General features: G+C 43.7%; 1 long non-coding RNA gene and 4 pseudogenes across 2 annotated transcripts, besides 2 other annotated features; 3 read left to right on the top strand and 2 right to left on the bottom strand.

Annotated features, from left to right (window-relative positions):
• RPL7AP7 (ribosomal protein L7a pseudogene 7) lies at positions 5,943-6,828 on the top strand (annotated as a pseudogene).
• Positions 6,881-9,916, bottom strand: HLA-P (major histocompatibility complex, class I, P (pseudogene); annotated as a pseudogene).
• Positions 9,029-9,528: an enhancer, noted in NCBI's record as "H3K4me1 hESC enhancer chr6:29768209-29768708 (GRCh37/hg19 assembly coordinates)". NCBI's record gives its function as "activates a minimal SCP1, AML or CMV promoter by ChIP-STARR-seq in primed H9 embryonic stem cells {active_cell/tissue: H9 hESC(primed)}" and the evidence as "EXISTENCE:reporter gene assay evidence [ECO:0000049][PMID:30033119]".
• HCG4P9 (HLA complex group 4 pseudogene 9) lies at positions 9,834-11,536 on the top strand (annotated as a pseudogene).
• HLA-V (major histocompatibility complex, class I, V (pseudogene)) lies at positions 12,153-18,054 on the bottom strand (annotated as a pseudogene). The gene is made up of 3 exons (NR_132323.1): positions 17,655-18,054; positions 17,254-17,523; positions 12,153-12,767 (listed from the first exon to the last, which is right to left on the bottom strand). The product of NR_132323.1 is annotated as a major histocompatibility complex, class I, V (pseudogene) (transcript).
• Positions 16,887-18,929, top strand: HCG4 (HLA complex group 4). Its single transcript, NR_002139.2, has one exon. It is a non-coding gene; the product is annotated as an HLA complex group 4 (long non-coding RNA).
• Positions 18,540-19,739: an enhancer, noted in NCBI's record as "P300/CBP strongly-dependent group 1 enhancer chr6:29757998-29759197 (GRCh37/hg19 assembly coordinates)". NCBI's record gives its function as "activates an origin of replication core promoter dependent on BRD2, BRD4, P300/CBP, MED14 and CDK7 cofactors, with strong dependence on P300/CBP, by STARR-seq in HCT116 cells {active_cell/tissue: HCT116}" and the evidence as "EXISTENCE:reporter gene assay evidence [ECO:0000049][PMID:35650434]".

Genomic DNA, 20,441 nt, shown 5'->3' with positions numbered 1-20,441 from the left:
GAGCACCTATTCATCTGCTTATTAGCCCAGTATTTATCCTCTTCAGTGAAATGTCTGTTCATGTCTTGCTCATTGCCTGTTTTGTATTTGGATTTCATTTTTATTGTTGAGTTTTAAAATTTCTTCATATATTCTGAATACAGTCTTTACAGAATATGTTGCCTGCAAATATCTTCTCTCATTCTGTAGCTTGTCTTTTTATGCTCTTCATAGGTCTCTCACAGAACAACAGTTTTTAGTGTTGATAAGATCCAATTTATTAACTTTTATGGATCATACTTTTGGTGTTATGTTTAAGAACTCTTTGTCCAGTCTTAGCTCTGATGACTTTTTCTTAAAAGGTTTGTAATTTAAAAATTTAAATTTATTATTTATTTTAGAAAAAAAATTATTGCCTAGGCTGGCCTTGAACTCCTGGGCTCAAGGGATCCTCCCACCTCAGCTTCCTGAGTAGCTGAGAGTACAGGCCTGTGATACCACACCTGGCTCAATGTTTGCCATTTTAACTCTGTGCTTTACATGAAAGCTTGTGACTCATTTTGAGTTATTTTTGTATGAAGCATGAGGTTTTGGCTCAGGTTATTTTTTTTCCACTGTGGTTGTCCAGTTGTTCCATCACCATTTGATGGAAAAGCTCTCCTTCCTTCATTGAATTGCTTTTGTGCTTTTGTAAAAGTCAGTTGAGCATGTTTTGCTCATTTTTAGTTGAGTTGCTCATCTTCTTACATTGAGTTTAAGAACTTTTCACATATTCTGGATACATGTTCTTCATCACAGATGTAATTTGTGATAAATTGTGAAATATTTTCTCTCAATCTACGGCTTGTCTTCTCATTTTCTCAATATTGTCTTTTGGAGCACTTAAGTTTTAAATTTTAACTAAGCCCAATTTGTCTCTCACTTTTTTTTCATCTGTAGATCATGTTTTTTGTATTTTATGTAAGAATCTTTTGCCTAACTACTCAATGTCACAAAAATTTTCTCCTATATTTTCTTTTAGAAATTTTATGGTTTTAACTTATAAATTTTAGCTGTTTAGGTCTCTAATTTGTTTGAGCTTATATTTTATATGGCGATAAGTGTCACATCATATTACCTATGCAACTTCATTGAAGATCAATTGACAAAAAAATGTAAGAATGTCTTTCTAGATTCTCACTTCTGTTCATTAATCTCTGTGTCTCTCGCTTTCACACTGTCTGGATTATTGTAGTTTTATATGACATTCCATTTTTTTTCAAATTTGCGTTGGCTTTTCTGCATCCTCTGCATTTTCACATACATTTTTAGGATTAAATTGTCAATTTTCCATAAAATGCCTGCTGGGGTTTTGATAGAGATTGTACTGAACCTATAGATCTCTTGGTGGAGAATTGTCATCTTAACAATATTATTGAGCTTTCCAACCGCATCTCTCCATGAATTTAGACCTTTAATTTCTCTCAGTAATGTTTTGTAGTTTTCAACAAACTCTGCTGTCTTCCTAAATTTATTCCTATTTCTCTCTTTTTGTAACTACTGTGATAGGAAAGTTTAGATTTTAATTGCTTGTATAGAGAAATATGTTAATAATTTTTAATTTGATTTTATATCCTATGGGAGCTTCTGGATTCATTTTTTAGTGCTAGCAGGCTTTTATCTGCTTGTGAATTCTACAGACAAGGTCATGTTATCTGTGAATAGAGTTTTATGTTTTCCTTTTTATCTGGATGCCTTTAACTTTTAATTATTTGCCTTATTGCACCAGCTGCAATCTCCAGTACAATGTTAAGTAGAAGTGTTGGATTGGACATCCTTGCATTGATCTCCATCTTAGGAGAAAAGCATTCAGTCTTTCTTCAGCAAGCATGATTTTAGTTGTGGGTTTTTTATAGATGCCCTTTATCAGGGTGAGGAAGGTCCCCTCCATTCCTATTTTGTTGAAACTTATGAACATGAGTGGTGTTAACATTTTTGTCAACTGTTTCTTCTGTATCTTTTGAGATAATTATGTCTTTTATTCCCTTACTACAGTGCATTCCATTAATTGATTTCTAATTGTTAATCCAGCCATATATTCCTGGGATGAATCCCATTGGTCATGGAATGTAATCCTTTTTTACGTGGCTTTCTATTGTCTGCCAATGTTTGTTAAGGATGTTTTCATTTATGTTTATTGGTGACACTGGTCTATGGTATTCTTTTCTTGTCAGTCTTGCTCTGACTTTGATATTAGGGTAATGTCAGTTCTGTAAATGAGCTAGAAAGTCTTGCCTCCTCTCTTCTTGTCTGAAAGAGCTTTTGAAATATTTGATAGAATTCACCAGTGAAGATATCTGGGCTTTGGCATTTCTTTGTGAGAAGGTTTTAAAATTACTGTCTTAGTGTACAGTTCTCTTCAGATTTTCTATTTATTTTTGAGTCAGTTTCAGCAATTTCTATCTTTGTATAAATCTGTCCATTTTATCTAAGTGGTCTAACTGATTGGCTTCAGGTTTTTCAGAGTATTAACTTATAATGTTTTTTAACTTCTAAAGGGTCATTAGTGATACTCTCTCTTGTGTTCACAATTTTGGTAATTTATCTCATTTCTCATACTGTCTGTTTTGACTTTTGGTCAAGAAAACAGACAGAGGCAGCTCTGTGACAGATTCTGTAGTGGGAAGCTTTGATCATTCATAGCTGGCAAGCCAGACTAATGCCAGCAACCCCAAAGGAGCTGCCAATGGATCTTGACAGGGAAGTCACTGACTCTGGATTGGGCTATGATCAACCAGGGGTAGATGTCAATGCTTCAAAGGCTATACAAGAACCAGAAAAATGGAGATTACACCAATTTGGACTGTTGAGTCACATTTCTTTACACAAGAAAACACACTTTACAGCCTTAAAAAGCCAACAGTGCACAGGGAAATGTACTATTCAGGGGAAACTTTGATAGAATATTGAAATGGCTGACCAGGCACGGTGGCTCATGCCTGTAATCCCAGCACTTTTGGTGGCCGAGGCGGGCGGATCACCTGAGTTTAGGAGTTTGAGACTATCCTGGCCAATATGGTGAAACCCCGTCTCTACTGAAAATACAAAAATTAGCTGCGTGTGGTGGTGGGCGCCTGTATTACCAGCTACTCGGGAGGCTGAGACAGTAGAATTGCTTGAACCTGGGAGGCAGAGGTTGCATGAGCCGAGATCATACTACTGCACTCCAGCCTGGGCGACAGAGTGAGACTCCATCTCAAAAAAAAAAAGAAAAAGAAATAGTCAGTTGAAACATTGGTTGTCTAATTGTCTAAAAACTGCCAATATAATTGTTGGGCAATATAAACATGAAGGACTGGCTTTTATATCTTCATGAATGTGCTTACTGTCAACATGGGTGGAGCTGCGAAACTGACTCCACTAGGTAGCTTCCTCTCTTTTTCCTGATGGATCAGGGTGATGCTGTTATGACTGTACATACAATTCTTCTTAAGGGGAGGATGCTGGAATAATGACTACACTTCATTTCTTATTTCTTTTTTTACACAGGGTGCAGTGGTACCAGGAACAGGGATGCAAATCGAACTGCCAGAAACAGGAATTATCCCTAAGGAAAAAACCATAACTATATTTTTATACCTTTATGTAAGAATTCCCAAGCAAATCAAGGATTGCGCTGTGCCTTCATTTCATCTGGCAAAGTCGGGATTAACTGTAAGTAGAGCTACGTAGACTGGTGGTCAGATAGCCTGCACTAGTTCCTAACCTATGTAACCTACTGTCTATGATCAAGAGTAGATTAAGAGAAGACATGGTAGAATACTATTGCTGCATGCAGTCTAGGCCAGCACAGCAGCCAAACCTAATGTCACTTCTAGAACTGGAAAAGACTGATATAAAGGGACAGAAGGAGGAATAGTGGCTGAGGGTAGGTGAATAAATCAAAGGGTTATGTAATGAGGAAAATTCAATATTAGCTTATCTCCTCAAAAGTGGTGTGAGCAAGAGATGTTGTCTCTTAGGTCAACTATACTGGATGCCTAAAAGGGTGAAGCTGTATGTCCCTGAGACCATTCTTGTTTTTGGAACCTGATAAGATTGAATGGTGTCTGCAAAGCTGAGTGATGTCATTCTGGGAGACATATTCATACAAGAGGATGATAAACTGGCCTAATTTTGAATGACCGAATGAGACTTGGATAATATGCCAATGCTTCTTTACTGTTATAATCCTTTTCGTATGAAAAATATGTGGTCAAAGAAAAGGGGGTAATATGAGTTATCACAAAAACATTTAGTTTTGTCCCTGGTTTCTCCTAAAAACCTTAGAATCTCTTGAGTGATTAGAGTGTCTTTAGAATACTGAGGAAAGGACTCTTGGCTGAGAGGATCCTGGATACCTTGAGAATGGGGGCTGGCTGCCACAGACACATACCTATGATGAGAGGGTTGTCTTATTCCGTTTTGTGTTGCTATAAAGAAATGTCTGAGACTGACTAATTTATATAAACAAGGTTCATTTGGCTCAGGATTCTGATGTCTGGAAATGTTTGAGCATTTAGCGAGGGCCTCAGGCTGCTTCCACTCATGGCAGAAGGCAAAGGGGAGCTGGTATGTGCAGAAGTCACGTGGTAAGAGAGGAACAGAGGGAGTAGGAAGGTGCGAGACTCTTTTAACAACTAGCTCTTTTGGAAACTAATAGGGCAACAATTCATTGACTCCCGAGAGAGGGCAGTATCTCTCTGTTCATAAAAGATTGGCCCCCAAGACCCAAACGCCACCCATTAGGCCCTAAGTCCAACATTGGGGATCAGATTTTAACATGAGGTATCTGGGGATAAATATTTATATCATTGCATCCTGTCCCTAGCCAGCCAAAGCTCACATTCTTCTCACATTGCAAAAGACAATAATCTTCTCCCAATTGTCCAAAATGTGTTGGGTTGATCCAGCATCAACTCTAAATTCCAAAGTCTCATCTGAGACTCAAGGTAAGTTCTTATAGCTGTGCACCTGTAAAATTAAAAAAAGTTATTTACTTCTAAAATATTAATACAACAGTGGTAGAGACATTTCCTATACATTTCCATTCCAAAAGAAATAAGTGGACCAAAAGAAATGAATGCAGTGTCCTCACAAGGTTGAAACTCATCATGGCAGACATTAAAACTTAAAGCTCTAAAATAATCTCCTTTGACTCTATATCTTGAACCCTGAGCACACTGGCTGGTGCAAGCAATGGACTCACAATGCCATCTTCAGCCTCATATCCGTGGCTTTGGTGAACATAATCCATATAGCTGCTCTCATGGGTGAACATTGAATGCTTATGGCTTTTCCAGGCTGAGCTTGCATATTGCCAGTGGCTCTATGATTTAGTAGTCTTGGCAGGGGTCCTGTTCCTGCAGCTCCACTAGGAATTGTCCTGGATATTAAATTTCCCCTTTAAATATCAGTTCCAGTTTCAGGTCATGTCTTTGCTCACACATATGTGCATAGGCTATTACAAGCAGGCAGGCCAAATCTGGAATGCTATGCTGCTTAGAAATTTCTTCCACCAGATACCCTTATACATCACTCTCAAGTTCAAAGTTCTACAGATCCCTAGGGAGGGGGAACAATGCCTCCAAGTTATTTGCCAATGCATAACAAAAGTGACCTTTCCTCTAGGTCCCAATAAGTTCCTCATCTCCATGTGAGACCTTATCAGCCTGGACTCTATTGTCCATATCACTATCAGCATTTTGGTCACAACAGCTTAACAAATCTCTAGGAAGTTGCAAATTTTCCCCCATTTTCTTGTCTTCTGAACTCTCCAAACTCTTCCAACCTCTGCCTGTTACCCAGTTCCAAAGCTGTTTCCACATTTTCAAGAATTTTTATAGTAATACCCAACTCCTGGTACCGATTTTCTGAATTAGTTCATTCTCACACTTTTATAAAGAAATACCTGAGACTGGGTAATTTATAAAGAAAATAGGTTTCTTTCTTTCTCCTCCCACCATCCAAGATGCCAAAAGGAAAGAAGGCCAAGGAGAAGAAGGTGGCTCCAGCCCCTGCTGTCGTGAAGAAGCAGGAGGCCAAGAAAGTGGTAAATCCCTTGTTTGAGAAAAGGCCTAAGAATTTTGGCACTGGACAGGATATCCAGCCCAAAAGAGACCTCACCCACTTTGTGAAATGGCCCTGCTATATCAGGTTGCAGCAGCAGAGAACCATCCTCTATAAGTGGCTGAAAGTGCCTCCTGAGATTAACCAGTTCACCCAGGCACCAGACAGCCAAACAGCTACTCTGCTGCTTAAGCTGGCCCACAATACAGACCAGAGACAAACCAAGAGAAGAAGCAGAGGCTGTTGGCCCGGGCCAAGAAGAAAGCTGCTGGCAAAGGGGACATTCCCCACTAAGAGTCCACCTGTCCTTCGAGCAGGAGTTAACACCATCGCCACCTTGGTGGAGAACAAGAAAGCTCAGCTGGTGGTGATTGCACATGATGTAGATCCCATCAAGCTGGTTGTCTTCTTGCCTGTCCTGTGTCATAAAATGGGGTCCCTTACTGCATTATCAAAGGGAAGGCAAGACTGGGACATCTAGTCCATAGGAAGACCTGCACCACTGTCACCTTCACACAGGTTAACTCGGAAGACAAAGGTGCTTTGGCTAAGCTGGTGGGAGTTCTCAGGACCAATTACAATGACAGATACGATGAGATCCGCCATCACTGGGGAGACAGTGTCCTGGGTCTCAAGTATGTGGTTTGCATTGCCAAGCTCAAAAAGGCAAAGGGTAAAGAACATGCCACTAAATTGGGTGAAATGTATGCTGTTGAGTTTTCTGTATGTAAAAATAATTAAAATAATATAAATTTTCCTTCAAAAAACAAAAACAAAACAAAAACAGAAAAGAGGTTTAAATTGGGTCATGGTTCTGCAGGCTATACAGAAAGTATGATTCTGGCATCTGCTCATCTTATGAGAGGGCCTCAGGGAACTTTCGATTATGCTGGAAGGCTAAGGGGAAGCAGACATTACTTACATGCCTGGAGCAGGAGGGAGAGAGAGCAGGGAGGTGACACAGATTTTTAAACACCAGATCTTATGAGAATTATCACAAGAATAGCACCAAAGAGATGGTTCTAAACCGTTCATGAAGGATCCATCCTCATGAGCCGATCACCTGCCACCAGACACCACCTCCAAAATTAGGGATTACAATTGAACATGAGATTTGGGTGGGGACACAGATCCAAACAATATCAGGGGTCATGGTGGACATGAGGATGGGCTGGTCTCCCATTTCTTACCTGTTACTGTAGACATAGACACATTCAGACCCTTTGGCAGAAAGAGAAGCCAGAGGCTCTTAATGTCACAAAGAGGAGGCATGAACAAATCTTGCATCTCAGTCCCTCACAAGGCAATCTTAGAAAAAACATAGTCATAAACTAATCCAGGTCAGTCATAGTAAGTTGTGACACTGAACAGCCCACCACACCTTGAAAAATTCCAAATCAAAGAATCTCCAGAGCTTAGTTGTGTCCCCTCTGCCCAACTCCTCTTTCACTTCAGGCCCTCTAAGGTGTCACTTTTACAAGCCTTGAGAGACACATCAGAGCCCTGGGTACTGTTCCTGTTTGGGGTGGAACAAAAACAAAATCTGGTCAGAGCCCACAGGTGATGTGACTAAAGGAGGAATTTTGGGGTGGCTGAGCTCCCCCATGGGCTCCTGTCTACACTATCCCAAGGATCTCAGGGATCACTCTTCCCACCCCTACCACACTTACATGAAGCCTGAGCATAACTGCCTCCTTTTCCATCTGTGGAAAGAAAACAAACTGTGAGAGGCCAGGGAGGAGGCAGGGCATGAGATCCTAGAGGAGTTTCCAGAACTGTGACTACAGACCCAGGTCAGGATCAGAAAACCCAAGGGAAGAGGATGTGTTGAGGCTGGACCAATTGTCCTCCTGAGGTCTGTCCTCAGCAGGGACCTTCCCCTGACCTGTGACTGCTGGGAGTCAGGTTCCCATGACCACAATCAAGGTGATAAATTTGTCCTTCATTTTCACAAGTGCTTTACAAAAGAGTAAGCGTTGATAGACAGGGCCTCTGAACAGGGTAAATGTGTGTGGAGATGGTGCCTCACAACTAGGCAAGATATGAGCCTACTCCTACCTGGGGCTTGAAATCCACCAATGGAAGAAGGAAACTCAGAGCTCACCCCTTTCCTACCTGGGATCTTATTCCTCCACATCACAGCAGCGACTACAGCTACAGTGATTACAGCAACTAGAAGAACCAGGCCAGCAATGATGCCCACAACGGGGATGATGGGCTGGGAAGACAGCTCTAAGAAAGGAGGTGAACGTGAGGGGCCCTGACCCCCAGGCCTCAGCCCTGACCCTGCTTAAAGGCTCCAGAAGGACTTCTGCTTTGCCTGAGAAGAGACATGACCCCTCATTCGTCTCCTTACCCCATCTTAGTGTGAGGGGCTCAGGCAACCCCTCGTGCTGCACATGGCATGTGTACCTCTGCTTCTCTCCAGAAGACACCACTGCAGCTGCCCACTTCTGGAAGGTTCTGTACCCTGCAAGTCTGGTCTCCACAAACTCTGCATCCTGAATTTGGTCCTCCCCATCCCGCTCCTGGGTCAGTGTGATCTCCAGAGGGTAGAAGCCCAGGGCCCAGCACCTCAGCGTGGCCTCATAGTTGGAGATGGGGTGGAGGGTTACCTGTGCCTTCAGGGGATCTGAGGGCAAGAGGTAGAAAATTCAGGCACTTTGCATTCCTCATGAGACACAGCACCCATGTGACCATCCTGAGAATGGATGGGACATCTGGGGTGGGGAAGGGAGCACAGAACCCAGACAACATTCTGGACACAGGCACCTGGGATAATCTCTTATTCCTTGGAAAGTTCTAGTGTCTGAGGCGGAAACAGAGATTTCTGGTCCTGACCTGAGTGGAGGCCGAGGGACTCAGAAGAGCTGGAATCAGACCCCCACACACATTGAGTATGAGGCAGAGAACAAGGCCTGAGAGGAAAATTCCTGGTGCCCAAGGCTGCTGGGGGGTCAAAGGGTACCGCGTATCAGTATTCCAGGGATTGTCTTCCCCTCCTTTCCCGCAGAGACTTCATCCGTTAATTGTCCCAGAGTGCAGGGCGGGCCCTCAGTCACTCTCTGGTATAGGATTTAGAAACCCAGGAGGACTCTTCTGCCTCAGGACAAGAGGGAGAGGGATATTTTAGCGTTGGTCCCATTTTCCTCCCCTTCTTTTGGAAGGTGGCTCAGGGATATCTGCAGGAGATCAGGGAGGCGACCCGTGGCCTCTGGTACCTGCGCATTGCAGCCTCTCCTTCTCATTCTTAAGGCCTTTGCTGAGCCACTCCGCCCACCTTCCCGGCAGGTAGGTTTTGAGCAGCTCTGCATGTTCCTCCTCCAAAACATCTGAGCCGCCTTTTCCGCTGCGGTCCAAGAGAGCAGTTCCTGGTTTAGGACGAGGTAACTGGCGCCATCGTAGGGTATGTTCATCCCCGCGCGAAGAGGCTCCGGTCCGGGTCCAGGTCGCAGCTGTGTATCCACTGGAGGTGGGAGACCCTGTCCCCAAGCCCGCGGTCAGCCTCAGCCACTGAGCTCCTCCTCTGCCCCGATCAATCCCCCGGGGATTTGGGCCTGAACTGAAAATGGAATCGGGTATAGGCACCTGGGGTTCTTGTGTCGAGGGTCTCCACGAGTCCCGCAGCCTCGGCGTGGGTCTCCGATTGTGCTACAGTGGGTAGCACAATCTTGGTAGCCCCTGAATGGTCACGAATCTAATTTGTAAAAGAGATGATTTTTGGCCCCATTATATATAAATATGTCTAAACGCATTGCAATTAGACTCACAAAGTGAAGTTTTACTTTCCCAGACTGTGTATCTGTGACTCTGGTCTGTTGTATTTTTACAGTATCTTTATTTCATAGCTCTGAGTTTGTGTGTGCGAGTCCAGGACATCTCAATACAAAGCACAATGTATTACCGTATATTGCAACCAGGAGCCTGTACAGAATTTAATTACCTCAGAATTGCAAGTGCTTAATGCAGCCAAAGTGCCCTTCGCCAGTGCTCATGCACTCCCTTTATTATTAATTTTTTTATTTTTTATTTATTTACAGACAGGGCGTCACTCTGTTACCCTGGCTAAAGTGCAGTGGCACGCTCATGACTCACTGAAGCCTCGACCTCCTTGGCTCATGTGATCAATGCTCCTCCCTCAGCCTCCCAAGTAGCTGGCACCACAGGCTTGTGCCACCACTCCTGGCTAATTTTTCTAAAAATAATATTTGTAGAGATGAGGTCTCCCTAAATTGCTCTGGCTGGTCTTGAACTCCTGGGCTCAAGCAATCCTCCCGCCTCAGCCTCCCAAAATGCTGGTATTACAGGCATGAGCTATAATGGCCGGCCCATGCACTTGCCTATTATTATGAATTATTCACATCTAAGCTATGTGTATATTTTATTGAGACATTTGGTATTCTTTTTTAACCTTTTTTTTTTTTTTTGAGACGGAGTCTCGCTCTGTCGCCCAGGCTGGAGTGCAGTGGTGCAATCTCGCTCACTGCAAGCACCGCCTCCCGGGTTCACGCCGTTCTCCTGCCTCAGCCTCCCAAGTAGCTGGGACTACAGGCGACCGCCACCACGCCCGGCTAATTTTTTTGTAATTTTTTATTAGAGACGGGGTTTCACCATGTTAGCTAGGATGGTCTCGATCTCCTGACCTTGTGATCCACGCGCCTCGGCCTCCCAAAGTGCTGGGATTACAGGCGTGAGCCACCGCGCCCGGCCTTTTTTAACCTTTTTATCTTAGAGAGGCAATTAGCTTTTAGACAGCCCCACAGAATGCATTAAAGACCAAGGTGCAAGTAACACTGTGCCAGGCTTTGCGGATAAATGCATTAAAAATCTATAAAACACTGTATTTAAGTCTGAGAATTCCATTGCTTTAGAATTCTTTCTCTCTGTTCCTTTACCTCACCTCCTGCTTCTCCAGCCCTTCTCTCTGTCCCTGTCATCCTTCAGGCCCTCCTCTCCCCTTAGTCTCTACTACTCTGTCACTACTGAATTGTGTCCCTAGCTCTGTCCCTCGCCTGCTGCCCATGACTGTTCTCCCCACAAAGGTCAGCAATCCTGCTAATGTGAGTCAGATTGTGTCATTTCTTCACTTAAAAGCCTCTAATGGCTCCATCTTACTCTCAAGAAGCCTCTAGAATGGAAGGCACAAGCACAGGGGCTTTGGGTTGCTTTGATCAAAGTTGTATCTACAGAATATAAAAGTATATCTGCCACATAGTAGGCACTAAGTTAATTTTTGTTGAATGAATGAATGAAATATAATTGTGTTCAAAATTGTATCACACAAAAATCATGAAATGGAAAATGCAAAGCAAGTTAGGAAATATTTGGTTTTATGCAACTACTATGCATATCAGTTCATGAATTCATTCCGGTGGAGAAAATGTCATATACTTATCCTTTGAATCTGTTTATTTATTTCCTGGCAGTACATAACCAATTACCACAAACTTAGTGGCTGAAAACAGCACCCATTTATTTGTCTACATTTCCTTCATCAGAAATCCAGGCCTAATGTGATAGACTCTTTGTTCAGAGTTTCGCAAAGCTGTATCCTCATCTTAAGATTGGGGTTCTCCCCCAAGCTTATGTAGAGTTTGTTGGCAGAATTCGGTTTCTGGCAATTGTAGGATTAAGGTCCCTGTTTCCTTCGGGCTATCAGAGTAGACAGTGGGGAGGGCTTCTAATTCCTATTGGCCACCAGTGTTCTTTCCCCATGATCCCTCCATTTTCAAAGCCCAAAGTGGAGGAAGCCCCTCACGCTGAATCCCTCTCACACTGTGAGTCTCTATTCTCAGGAAGAACCCAGTCCTTTTCAGAGCTTACCTGATTAGGACCGTCTAAGCAGGATAATCCTCATCTTAAAGTCAACTGACTGGGGACTTTAAATATATCTGCAAAACCTCTTCACAGCAGCACCTGCTTTAGTGTCAACTGAGTAACTGGGGTAACCTGAGAAACCAAGGGTGGTTATTGGGGTGTCATCATAGAATCAGCCTAGCTAGCCTGGATCTTCCTTTCATGTTTAAATAGAACATACAAGTTGAAGATCAAAAAATAGATCATTGTTAATGATAATAAAATATATCTTATATAGCCATGGAAATTTTTATTAAATATTAAAAGCAAATGACATGTTTAATATCTTATAATGAATTTAGAGCAAATGAAAAAGTTCAGTGATTCATCCTCTCTTGTGAAGCTGTATTAGTTATCTACTGCTGCATAACAAGTCACCTACAACTTAGCAGCTCAAATCAACAAATATTTATCATCTCCCACAGTTATCCATGGTCAGGAATCCAGGAGAAGTTTCTCTGAATGCTTCTGGCTCAGGGCCTCTCACAACGTTGCAGTCTAGTTGTCTTCCAGGGCTGAATCATCTGAGGGCTCAAATGGGGCCGGGGATTCACAAGACACAAGAATCTCTCACATGGCTTTTGGAAGAGGCTTTAGCTTCTTATTGTCTGGTCCCAGGAGGACTCACTTCCTAGTCACATGGACCACAGGCCTCCTTATGACACAACAGCCAGCTTCCCCCAGGGCTCATGATTCCAGAGAAAGAAAGAACCAAAGTAGAAACTTCAGTGAGTCTTATGTTCTACACCCAGAATCACAAACTATTATGTCAGCATTACTCTATCAGTTAGAAGTGAGTCATTAAGTCCAGGCCACACGAACAGGGAGGGAATGAAGCTGCACTTCTGGAAAGGAGGAGTATCAAAGAATTTATAAACATGTTAAAAGCAAAATTAACATTATTGTTTCAGGGTTTTGTAAATCAAATACTTCTTGTATCTGACTTTTTTTAATACTTTAAAATTCTCTTCTGTAAAGTTGATTAAATATTTGAGACAGAGAAAGAAGATACAACAATATCTCAGATTTTTTTTGTAAATGCCTTTAATATTAATATTCTCTTTGATAAGTTGCAACAGAGTTGAGAAAATACAGTAGCTAAATTAAAGTGTCCCAAGACTTTGGTGCCATACAATAATGCCTTTACAATCATAACTACGTTTGTTTCTCTTCAGAAGTTTCTAATTCGGTTTAAGAATGCCCAAAATGCCAATTTTCTTACTCAAGCATCTACAAAAATATTTGCCTAATCAGGGTGCTTTGCAGTTAGAAAAATGTGAATCTCACACCTCTGTCTATACACTAGCTTAGCATCATGACAATAATTTGTTTGGCTAGGGTAGGCAGAAATTGTTTACTCCAATCTAGGAACAAGATTTTTCAATAACTGGCTATTCAGTGGGCATCCTATGAAAGTTTAACATCTTTCACTGTGTTTTTTAATTAGATGTGGTAGAAGTGATTTGGACTCCTGTATGATTCTGAAAAACACTGTTCTTTTGTGCTGCTATCATTGCTGTACAAGCATCTCTTTCATGTTTTCCATTCTTATTGCTATTTCATCACTAGTTATTCCTTTATGTCTTTTCATTTAATTTATTTTGCTCAACAATGCTTTTTTTTTTTACTGTGTAAAAGTTTAATCCACTTGTATGTGTGGTAAAATGTGAGCAACATATCAAATTCTCAAATTCTTTGCAAGATACAATTGCCTTGCACATCAGATTGAACACTGTATGCCAGACAATGTAGAGAGTTGCCAATTAGCCCAGGGTCAAATGACCTCTTTCTAGCCAAGGCTATTTTTCATGAGATCCTGGTCCTCTCTGTCACATGACTCTTTACAATTGGCTGTGGCTTTGTTTTAACGTGTGTAGTTATTGCTAAGGATCCTTGAGATGAACTTTGGTATTTTCTTTTCTCTTTCATTTCCAAATAATCAGTCAGGAATGGCACACAAGGTGCATTTTGAAAAATGACACTTTAAAGATTTGTGGGCCGGGAATGGTGGCTCATGTCTGTAATCCCAGCACTTTGGAAGGCCGAAGTTGGCGGATCACCTGAGGTCAGGAGTTTGAGACCAACCTGGACAATATGGTGAAACCCCGTCTCTACTAAAAATACAAAAATTACCTGGGTGTCGTGGTGGATGCCTATAATTCCAGCTACTCAGGAGGCTGAGGTAGGAGAATTGCTTGAACCTGGGAGGCGGAGGTTGCAGTGAACTGAGATCATGCCACTGCACTCCAGCCTGGGCAACAAGAGGGAGACTCCATCTCGAAAAGAAAGAAAGAAAGAAAGAAAGAAAGAAAGAAAGAAAGAAAGAAAGAAAGAAAGAAAGAAAGAAAGAAAGAAAGAAAGAAAGAAAGAAAGAAAGAAAGAAAGAAAGAAAGAAAGAAAGAAAGAAAGAAAGAAAGAAAGAGAAAGAAAGAAAGAAAGAAAAGAAGGAAAGAAGGAAGGAAGGAAGGAAGGAAGGAAGGAAGGAAGGAAGGAAGGAAGGAAAGAAAGAAAGAAAGATTTATGATCAAGTAACTTAACTACCTGGACATCCCCTCCTGGCATAAAAAACAAAACCTATGAAGCCACCCTCGGCTGTTGTCCAATTCTATTCCCCAAAAGGAACTTCTATCTTGAGTCTTGTATTTACTATTCCTTTTCATTGTCTCTAAAGATTTTTACAATAAGTATATATATATATATCCAAATCACAGTTTGACCTGCTTTTTTTAACTTCCCCGTACAGAGAACTCACACAATGTGCATTCTTCTGTGATGCTGATGCATGTTATGTGTAGGAGAGTTATCTCTGATGTGGGAGGGTGCTGTTCATTCACTGTTGCTGCTGAAGTTTTACTTTTTATTATTATACGACTATTTTGTTAATTCCCATTGATGTATATGTGATTGTTTCCAGTTTTTGCCATAAACATTGGTGTACATGTCTCCTGGACACATAGCCAAGAATGTCCCCAGGGGGTATGATCAGGAGGCAGATGGTGGGATTATATGATGTATGGACATTAATCATACTAGATAAGGCTAATTTGATTTCTCAAGTGCTTGTACCAAGAATGGGAAAGAGCTTGTGTTGCTCATGTGTTCTGAAAACATTCAGTTGGAGGCAGAAATTAAATGTTAAAAGGTACTGTCTTGGCTATAGAATCACCCTAGGCATTTTTTCATATTCCATTAACAACTTCCTTTTCTTTACTTTTATATTATAAATTACGGCATTATACTTTTAGCATAAAGTTCAAATAATGCTTCCTTTTGGCCTAAACACTTGGAGTTTATGAAAAAAATGGAGGGAGGGAGAAAGCTCTGAGGGAGGAAAGGAGGAAAGAAGGAAGGAAGGACAGAGAAAGACAAAATTTAAAATGTTCAAAAATAGGAGGAAAGAGTTGGAAACAGCAAGTATAGCTAATGTTATTAAAATGCAAGGGATTAAAAGATATGTAGATAATATCCATGGAATAATGGAAACTTAAGAAAGCCTTAATAGTTATCAAGTGCTGTGTCACAAACTACCTCAAAATTTAGTAGCTTAATAGAACAAATATCTGTTAACTCAAAGAGATACTACACACACAAGTAAAATAGATTCTGTGGGGGTGGCAGAAGTTGGATAAAGAGAAGGATTTTACAGGTTGGAATAAGAGTTATTGATATGCAGATGGAAATAATTTTTAGTCCAAGTCCTTCAAGGAGCAGATGCCAAGATGAGCTTAAAGTCTGCGACATCTTATAAGGGGACACACCCGTAAGGGAATATGGGAAGTGAGCCAGAAATCCCTGAGAAAAGGCGGCAGACCACGATGCAAGTGTGACCCCAAGTGCTGGACAGAAGGAGAGAAAGTTTGTTTGACGCATCCTAGAGCACAGGCAATCTAAGGAGAGTTGAGCAAGGCCGTGGAGGAGTCTTCCAGCTACAGTTAGCCATCAGAGGAGTCCCGTGTCTCCCAGGAATGGCTTGCCTTAATGCCTGCTGTGACCAGTCACTGGCTGGGAACAGCCCATGGGAAGCAGGGCTTTGCACCAATCCTGCTGAGGATGTCAGAGCACAGGAGCACAGCCTTGGGACATTACCTGTGAGTATCACTCAATCCTTCCTTCCTGAGGGTTCTGGGCTCTTGAATATGAAACCCTCTCAGGCTGGGTTGCTGGATGATTCTGCTCACACTTACAACAGGACAAGGGGAACCATAAGGTCTCCAAGTGGATCTCTTATTTCCACACACACATCTCCTGCCCTCCTTGTGTGATAGCAGCCCTGCCTCCTCCTCTTCTCACCTGCTTGTATCTGGACACATACTATTCAAACATCCCTGGGGGCAGCCATAATGTATATTTCCATGGACTCTCATTTAAATGTCTCCTTGCCAGGGTGCCCCCTTTGGGAAACCAGGACCTCCTCCCCTACAGAGCCCAGATATTGGAGATGAGAAGTGCAAAATCACCCTGAAGGTGAATATAAGGGTTTAGATATGGAGCCACACCTGCTTCTACTTCTTGGTTTTTGGACCCACGTATTCTTCCTTCTGTAAACACAGCACTATAGAGACATCTTTGATTCAATACATGCACCACATCCTGAAAGATGGCACCCATTCCTCAGAGGGTTTCATCCAAGCTGGCACTAAGTTGTGTCTGTAGAGACCTGTCCATGACTCTGTGTGGCTGGCAGCCCCTGGGAGGTGCAGGTGGTGATAAGACCAGGGGGTGCCATGGTCATGGACCACGCTTCATCCCCTTTCCTCTGAGGTGTGTCCCGCGGGCAGATAATGTACTGAAATTCTGAGCCAGTGGCTCAGGAATGCCAATAGTGATACTGGCTGAGGGTCTAAGAGTAGAGAGGAAAACCACACCACATCTAATAGGTGCCTATCCCTGTGAGGATGAACCTCCGCCCCCCGGGCCGCCTCCCACTTGAGCTGGGTGATCTGAGCCGCCGTGTCTGCGGCTGTCAAGGAGCACAGGTCCTCGTTCAGGACGATGTAATCCTTGCCATCGTAAGCAAGCTGGTGATACCCGCGGAGTAGGCGCCCGTCCGACCCCACGTCGCAGACAGACATCCTCTAGATGGGTGTGAGACCCTGGCCCCGCCCCCGCGGCCAGCCCCGCCCACCGAGCCCCGCCCTCGCCAGGACCAACCTGCGGGGATTTTGGCTGAAAATGAAACCGGGTAACGGCTCCTGGGCCTCTCCCGGGTCAAGGGTCTCCAGGTCCCGCTGCCTCGGCGTGGATCTCGGACCCAGAGACTCGGGGAGACCCGGGCGGTCCGTGGGGGATGTGGAGGGGTAGTGACCTGCGCCCCCGGCCGGTGTCACTCACAGGCCTCACTCTGGTTGTAGTAGCCGCTCAGGGTCCGCAGGTTCACTCGGTAAAACTGTGCTTTGGCCTTGGCGGTCCCTGTCTCCTCTTCCCAATATTCCGGCCCCTCCTGCTCCATCCACGGCGCCCGCGGCTCCATCCTGGGACTCGTGGCGTCGCTGTCGAGCCGCACGCACTGCGTGTCGTCCACGTCGCCCACGGAGAGGAAGCGGGGATCCGCGCGGCCGGGCCGGGACATGGTGGTGTGGAAATACCTCAAGGAGTGGAAGCCTGGGAGCAAGGAGGGGGCTGAGACCCTCCCGACCCTCCTCCCGGCACCGCAACCGGGTTCCTGCGCCCCCGCCGGGCAGGCCCCTAGCTACTCCCCACAGACGCCGTTTCCCTCCCGACCCCGCACTCACCTGCCCAGGTCTGGGTCAGGACCAGGGCCCCCGAGAGCAGCAGAAGCAGGGTTCGGGGCGCCATGACACCATCCTCGGCGACTGGGAAGAATCGGAGTCCCGGTGGGTGCGTGGGAACTTTAGAACCGGGACCGCGGCTACATTGATTGGCTTCTCTAGAAACCCGACACTCAATGGGAGTGAGAACTGGGGCAGCCCGGTGAGTACCCAGGAAGAAGGACCCGACACAGGTTGGGAGAGGGAGAAGAGAAACCCTGCAAAGATGGGGAATGCCCAGCGCTGGGCCTCCCCAATCCATACACCGCCTTTGGGGCCTGAGATCCTGAGAGCCACGCCTGAGGCCCTGGGACTTCGCCCTGACCCCGCTACTTCTGTGCCAAGCGCTCTGTCTCAATGTTTCCCTGAGTCTTGGCCCAGGAGCTGTCTGAGAAACCAGGGAGAAACCCTCGGAATGGGCCCCGTCCCTCTCTCTTCACTTTGCATCACGGAATCCCCGTCCCAGAACTGGACTCCCTGCCTCCTACTCCTTACCTGTCCCCGTGGACTCTTCTAGAAGAAAAATCACCCCAGGGAGCTTGTTGCCAGAGAGTGAGCTTGCCCTGGGAATGGAGGTGTAGAGACAGGGTTTTTTGTTGTTGTTGTTTGTTTGTTTTTTAAATCTGGAAAAGTTGTGCCTGAGTGCATGAGATAGAATAGAGACCAGTTTGCTTTTTGTTTATTAACTACAGTGGGTAGCAGAATCTTGGTAACTCCTAATGATCAGGAATCTAATCGGCCAAAAATGTGACTTTGGTCCCTTGACATATAAATGTGTCTAAAAGCATTACAACAGGAATCACAAAGCTCCTAAGTTTCACTTTCCCAGACAATGTATCTGTGACTCCCGCTTGTAGTATTTTAAATTTACCTTCATTCCATAGCCCTGAGTTTCTGTGTGAGTCCAGGACATCTCCTAATACAAGGTAGCCACTGTGTTACTATATGTTGTAACCAGGAGCCAGTACGGACTTTATTCATCTCACAGTGGCAAGCACTCAATGCAGTCACAATGCCCCTCACCAGTGCTCATGCACTGCCTGTTTTTAGGAAGTATCCACTTCTAAGTGTTGTGTATATTTTATATGAACACTTAGTATTTTTTAAACCTGATTAACATAAAAAAATTAGTTTTTAGGCAGACCCACATAAGGTATTAAAGGCCAACTGCAAAGATCACCCTGCAAGGCTCTGTAGATTGATGTATTAAAATATATAAAACAATGTGTTTAAACCTGAGTTCTGCTGCTTTCGAATTCTTTCCCTCTGCTCCATTTCCTCACCTCCTGCATCTCCAGCCCTTCCCTCCATTCCTCTCATGCCTCAGGCCCTCCTCTCCCCTTAGTCCCCACCACCTTGTCACTCCTTATTTGTGACACTAGCACTGTCCCATTACCTGCTACGTGACTGTTCTCTGCACAGTGGTCCTGCTCCTGTGAGTCAGAGTGTGTCATTTCTCCACCTAAAACATTCCACTGGCTCCACCTTGGTCTTGTGAAGCTTCTGGAATGTCAGGCACGTAAGCATATGAGGGCACACCTGGTTCATTGTAGGGATTAAATTAATTTTTCTTGACTGAATGAATGAAATATGAGTCTATTAAATTGCATCACAGAAAATTATAAAATGTAAAATACTGAAAAAGTTAAGAAATATTTTATTTTATGTAATTAGTGTGCATATCAATTCATCAATTCATTCGTGCACTACCACGACTGGCAAAACAACACCCATTTATCTGCTTATACTTCCTTGGTCAGAAATCTGGGCAAGATGTGGATAGAATCCCTGTTCTGGGCTTCCAAAAGCTGTGTTTTCATTTTGAATCCTCCTTCAGGCTTATACAGAGGTGGCAGAATGCAGTTTCTGGCAGTTGTAAGACTGAGGTTTCTGTTCCTTGCTGGCTGTCAATACAGAGAATAGGCAGGGTTGTGCTCAATTCCTGGTGCCTAACAGTGTTCTTTCCTACACAGCCTCTTCATTTTCAAAGCCCACGGTAGAGGAAACCCCTCATGCTGAATCCCTCTCACACTGCAAATCTCTATGCTCAGAAAGAACACAGACCTTTCAAGGACTCACCTTATTAGGACAGTCAAAGCAGGATAAACCCAGCCTAAAGTCAACTAATTGAGGCCCTTAGTTATATCTGCTAAATCCCTTCACAGCAGCATCTACACTAGAGTTGCTTGAATAACTGGGGGAAAGTGAATGACCGGGAGGTGGCTGTTGGGGGCCATCAAAGAATCAGCCCAGCAAGGGTTGGATCTTCCTTTTGTGTTTAATTTGGACACAGTTGGAAATTGAAGTTCAAGTAAAGTGATCATTGTGAATGGTAATAAAATGCATCCTCTTCAGCCATGGACATTCTCCTTACCTTTTAAAACTAAGTTACATGTGTAATGTCTTATAATTAATTTAGGCCAGGTGTGGTGGCTCACACCTGTGATTCTAGCACCGTGGAAGGCAGAGGAAGGCAGATTTGTTGACTCCAGATGTTGAAGATCAGCCTGGGCAACATGGAGAAACCCCCATCTCTACAAAAAAATTTAGAAAATTAGCCAGGCGTGGTGCTTCATGCCTGTAGTCCCAGTTACTCAGGACGCTGAGATAAGAGGGTCCCTTGAGCCCAGGAAGTCGACACTGCAGTGCATGGTGATCATGCCACTGCACTCCAGCCTGGGCGACAGAGCGAGACCCTGTCTCAATAACAATAATATTAATAATAATGATAAATTTAGAGCAAATGCAAAT

This window comes from Homo sapiens, chromosome 6, assembly GCF_000001405.40.
Source record: "Homo sapiens chromosome 6, GRCh38.p14 Primary Assembly".
Taxonomy (NCBI): domain Eukaryota; kingdom Metazoa; phylum Chordata; class Mammalia; order Primates; family Hominidae; genus Homo; species Homo sapiens.
Note: the sequence above shows the minus strand (reverse complement) of the source record. Positions and strands in the feature narration are given on the sequence as shown.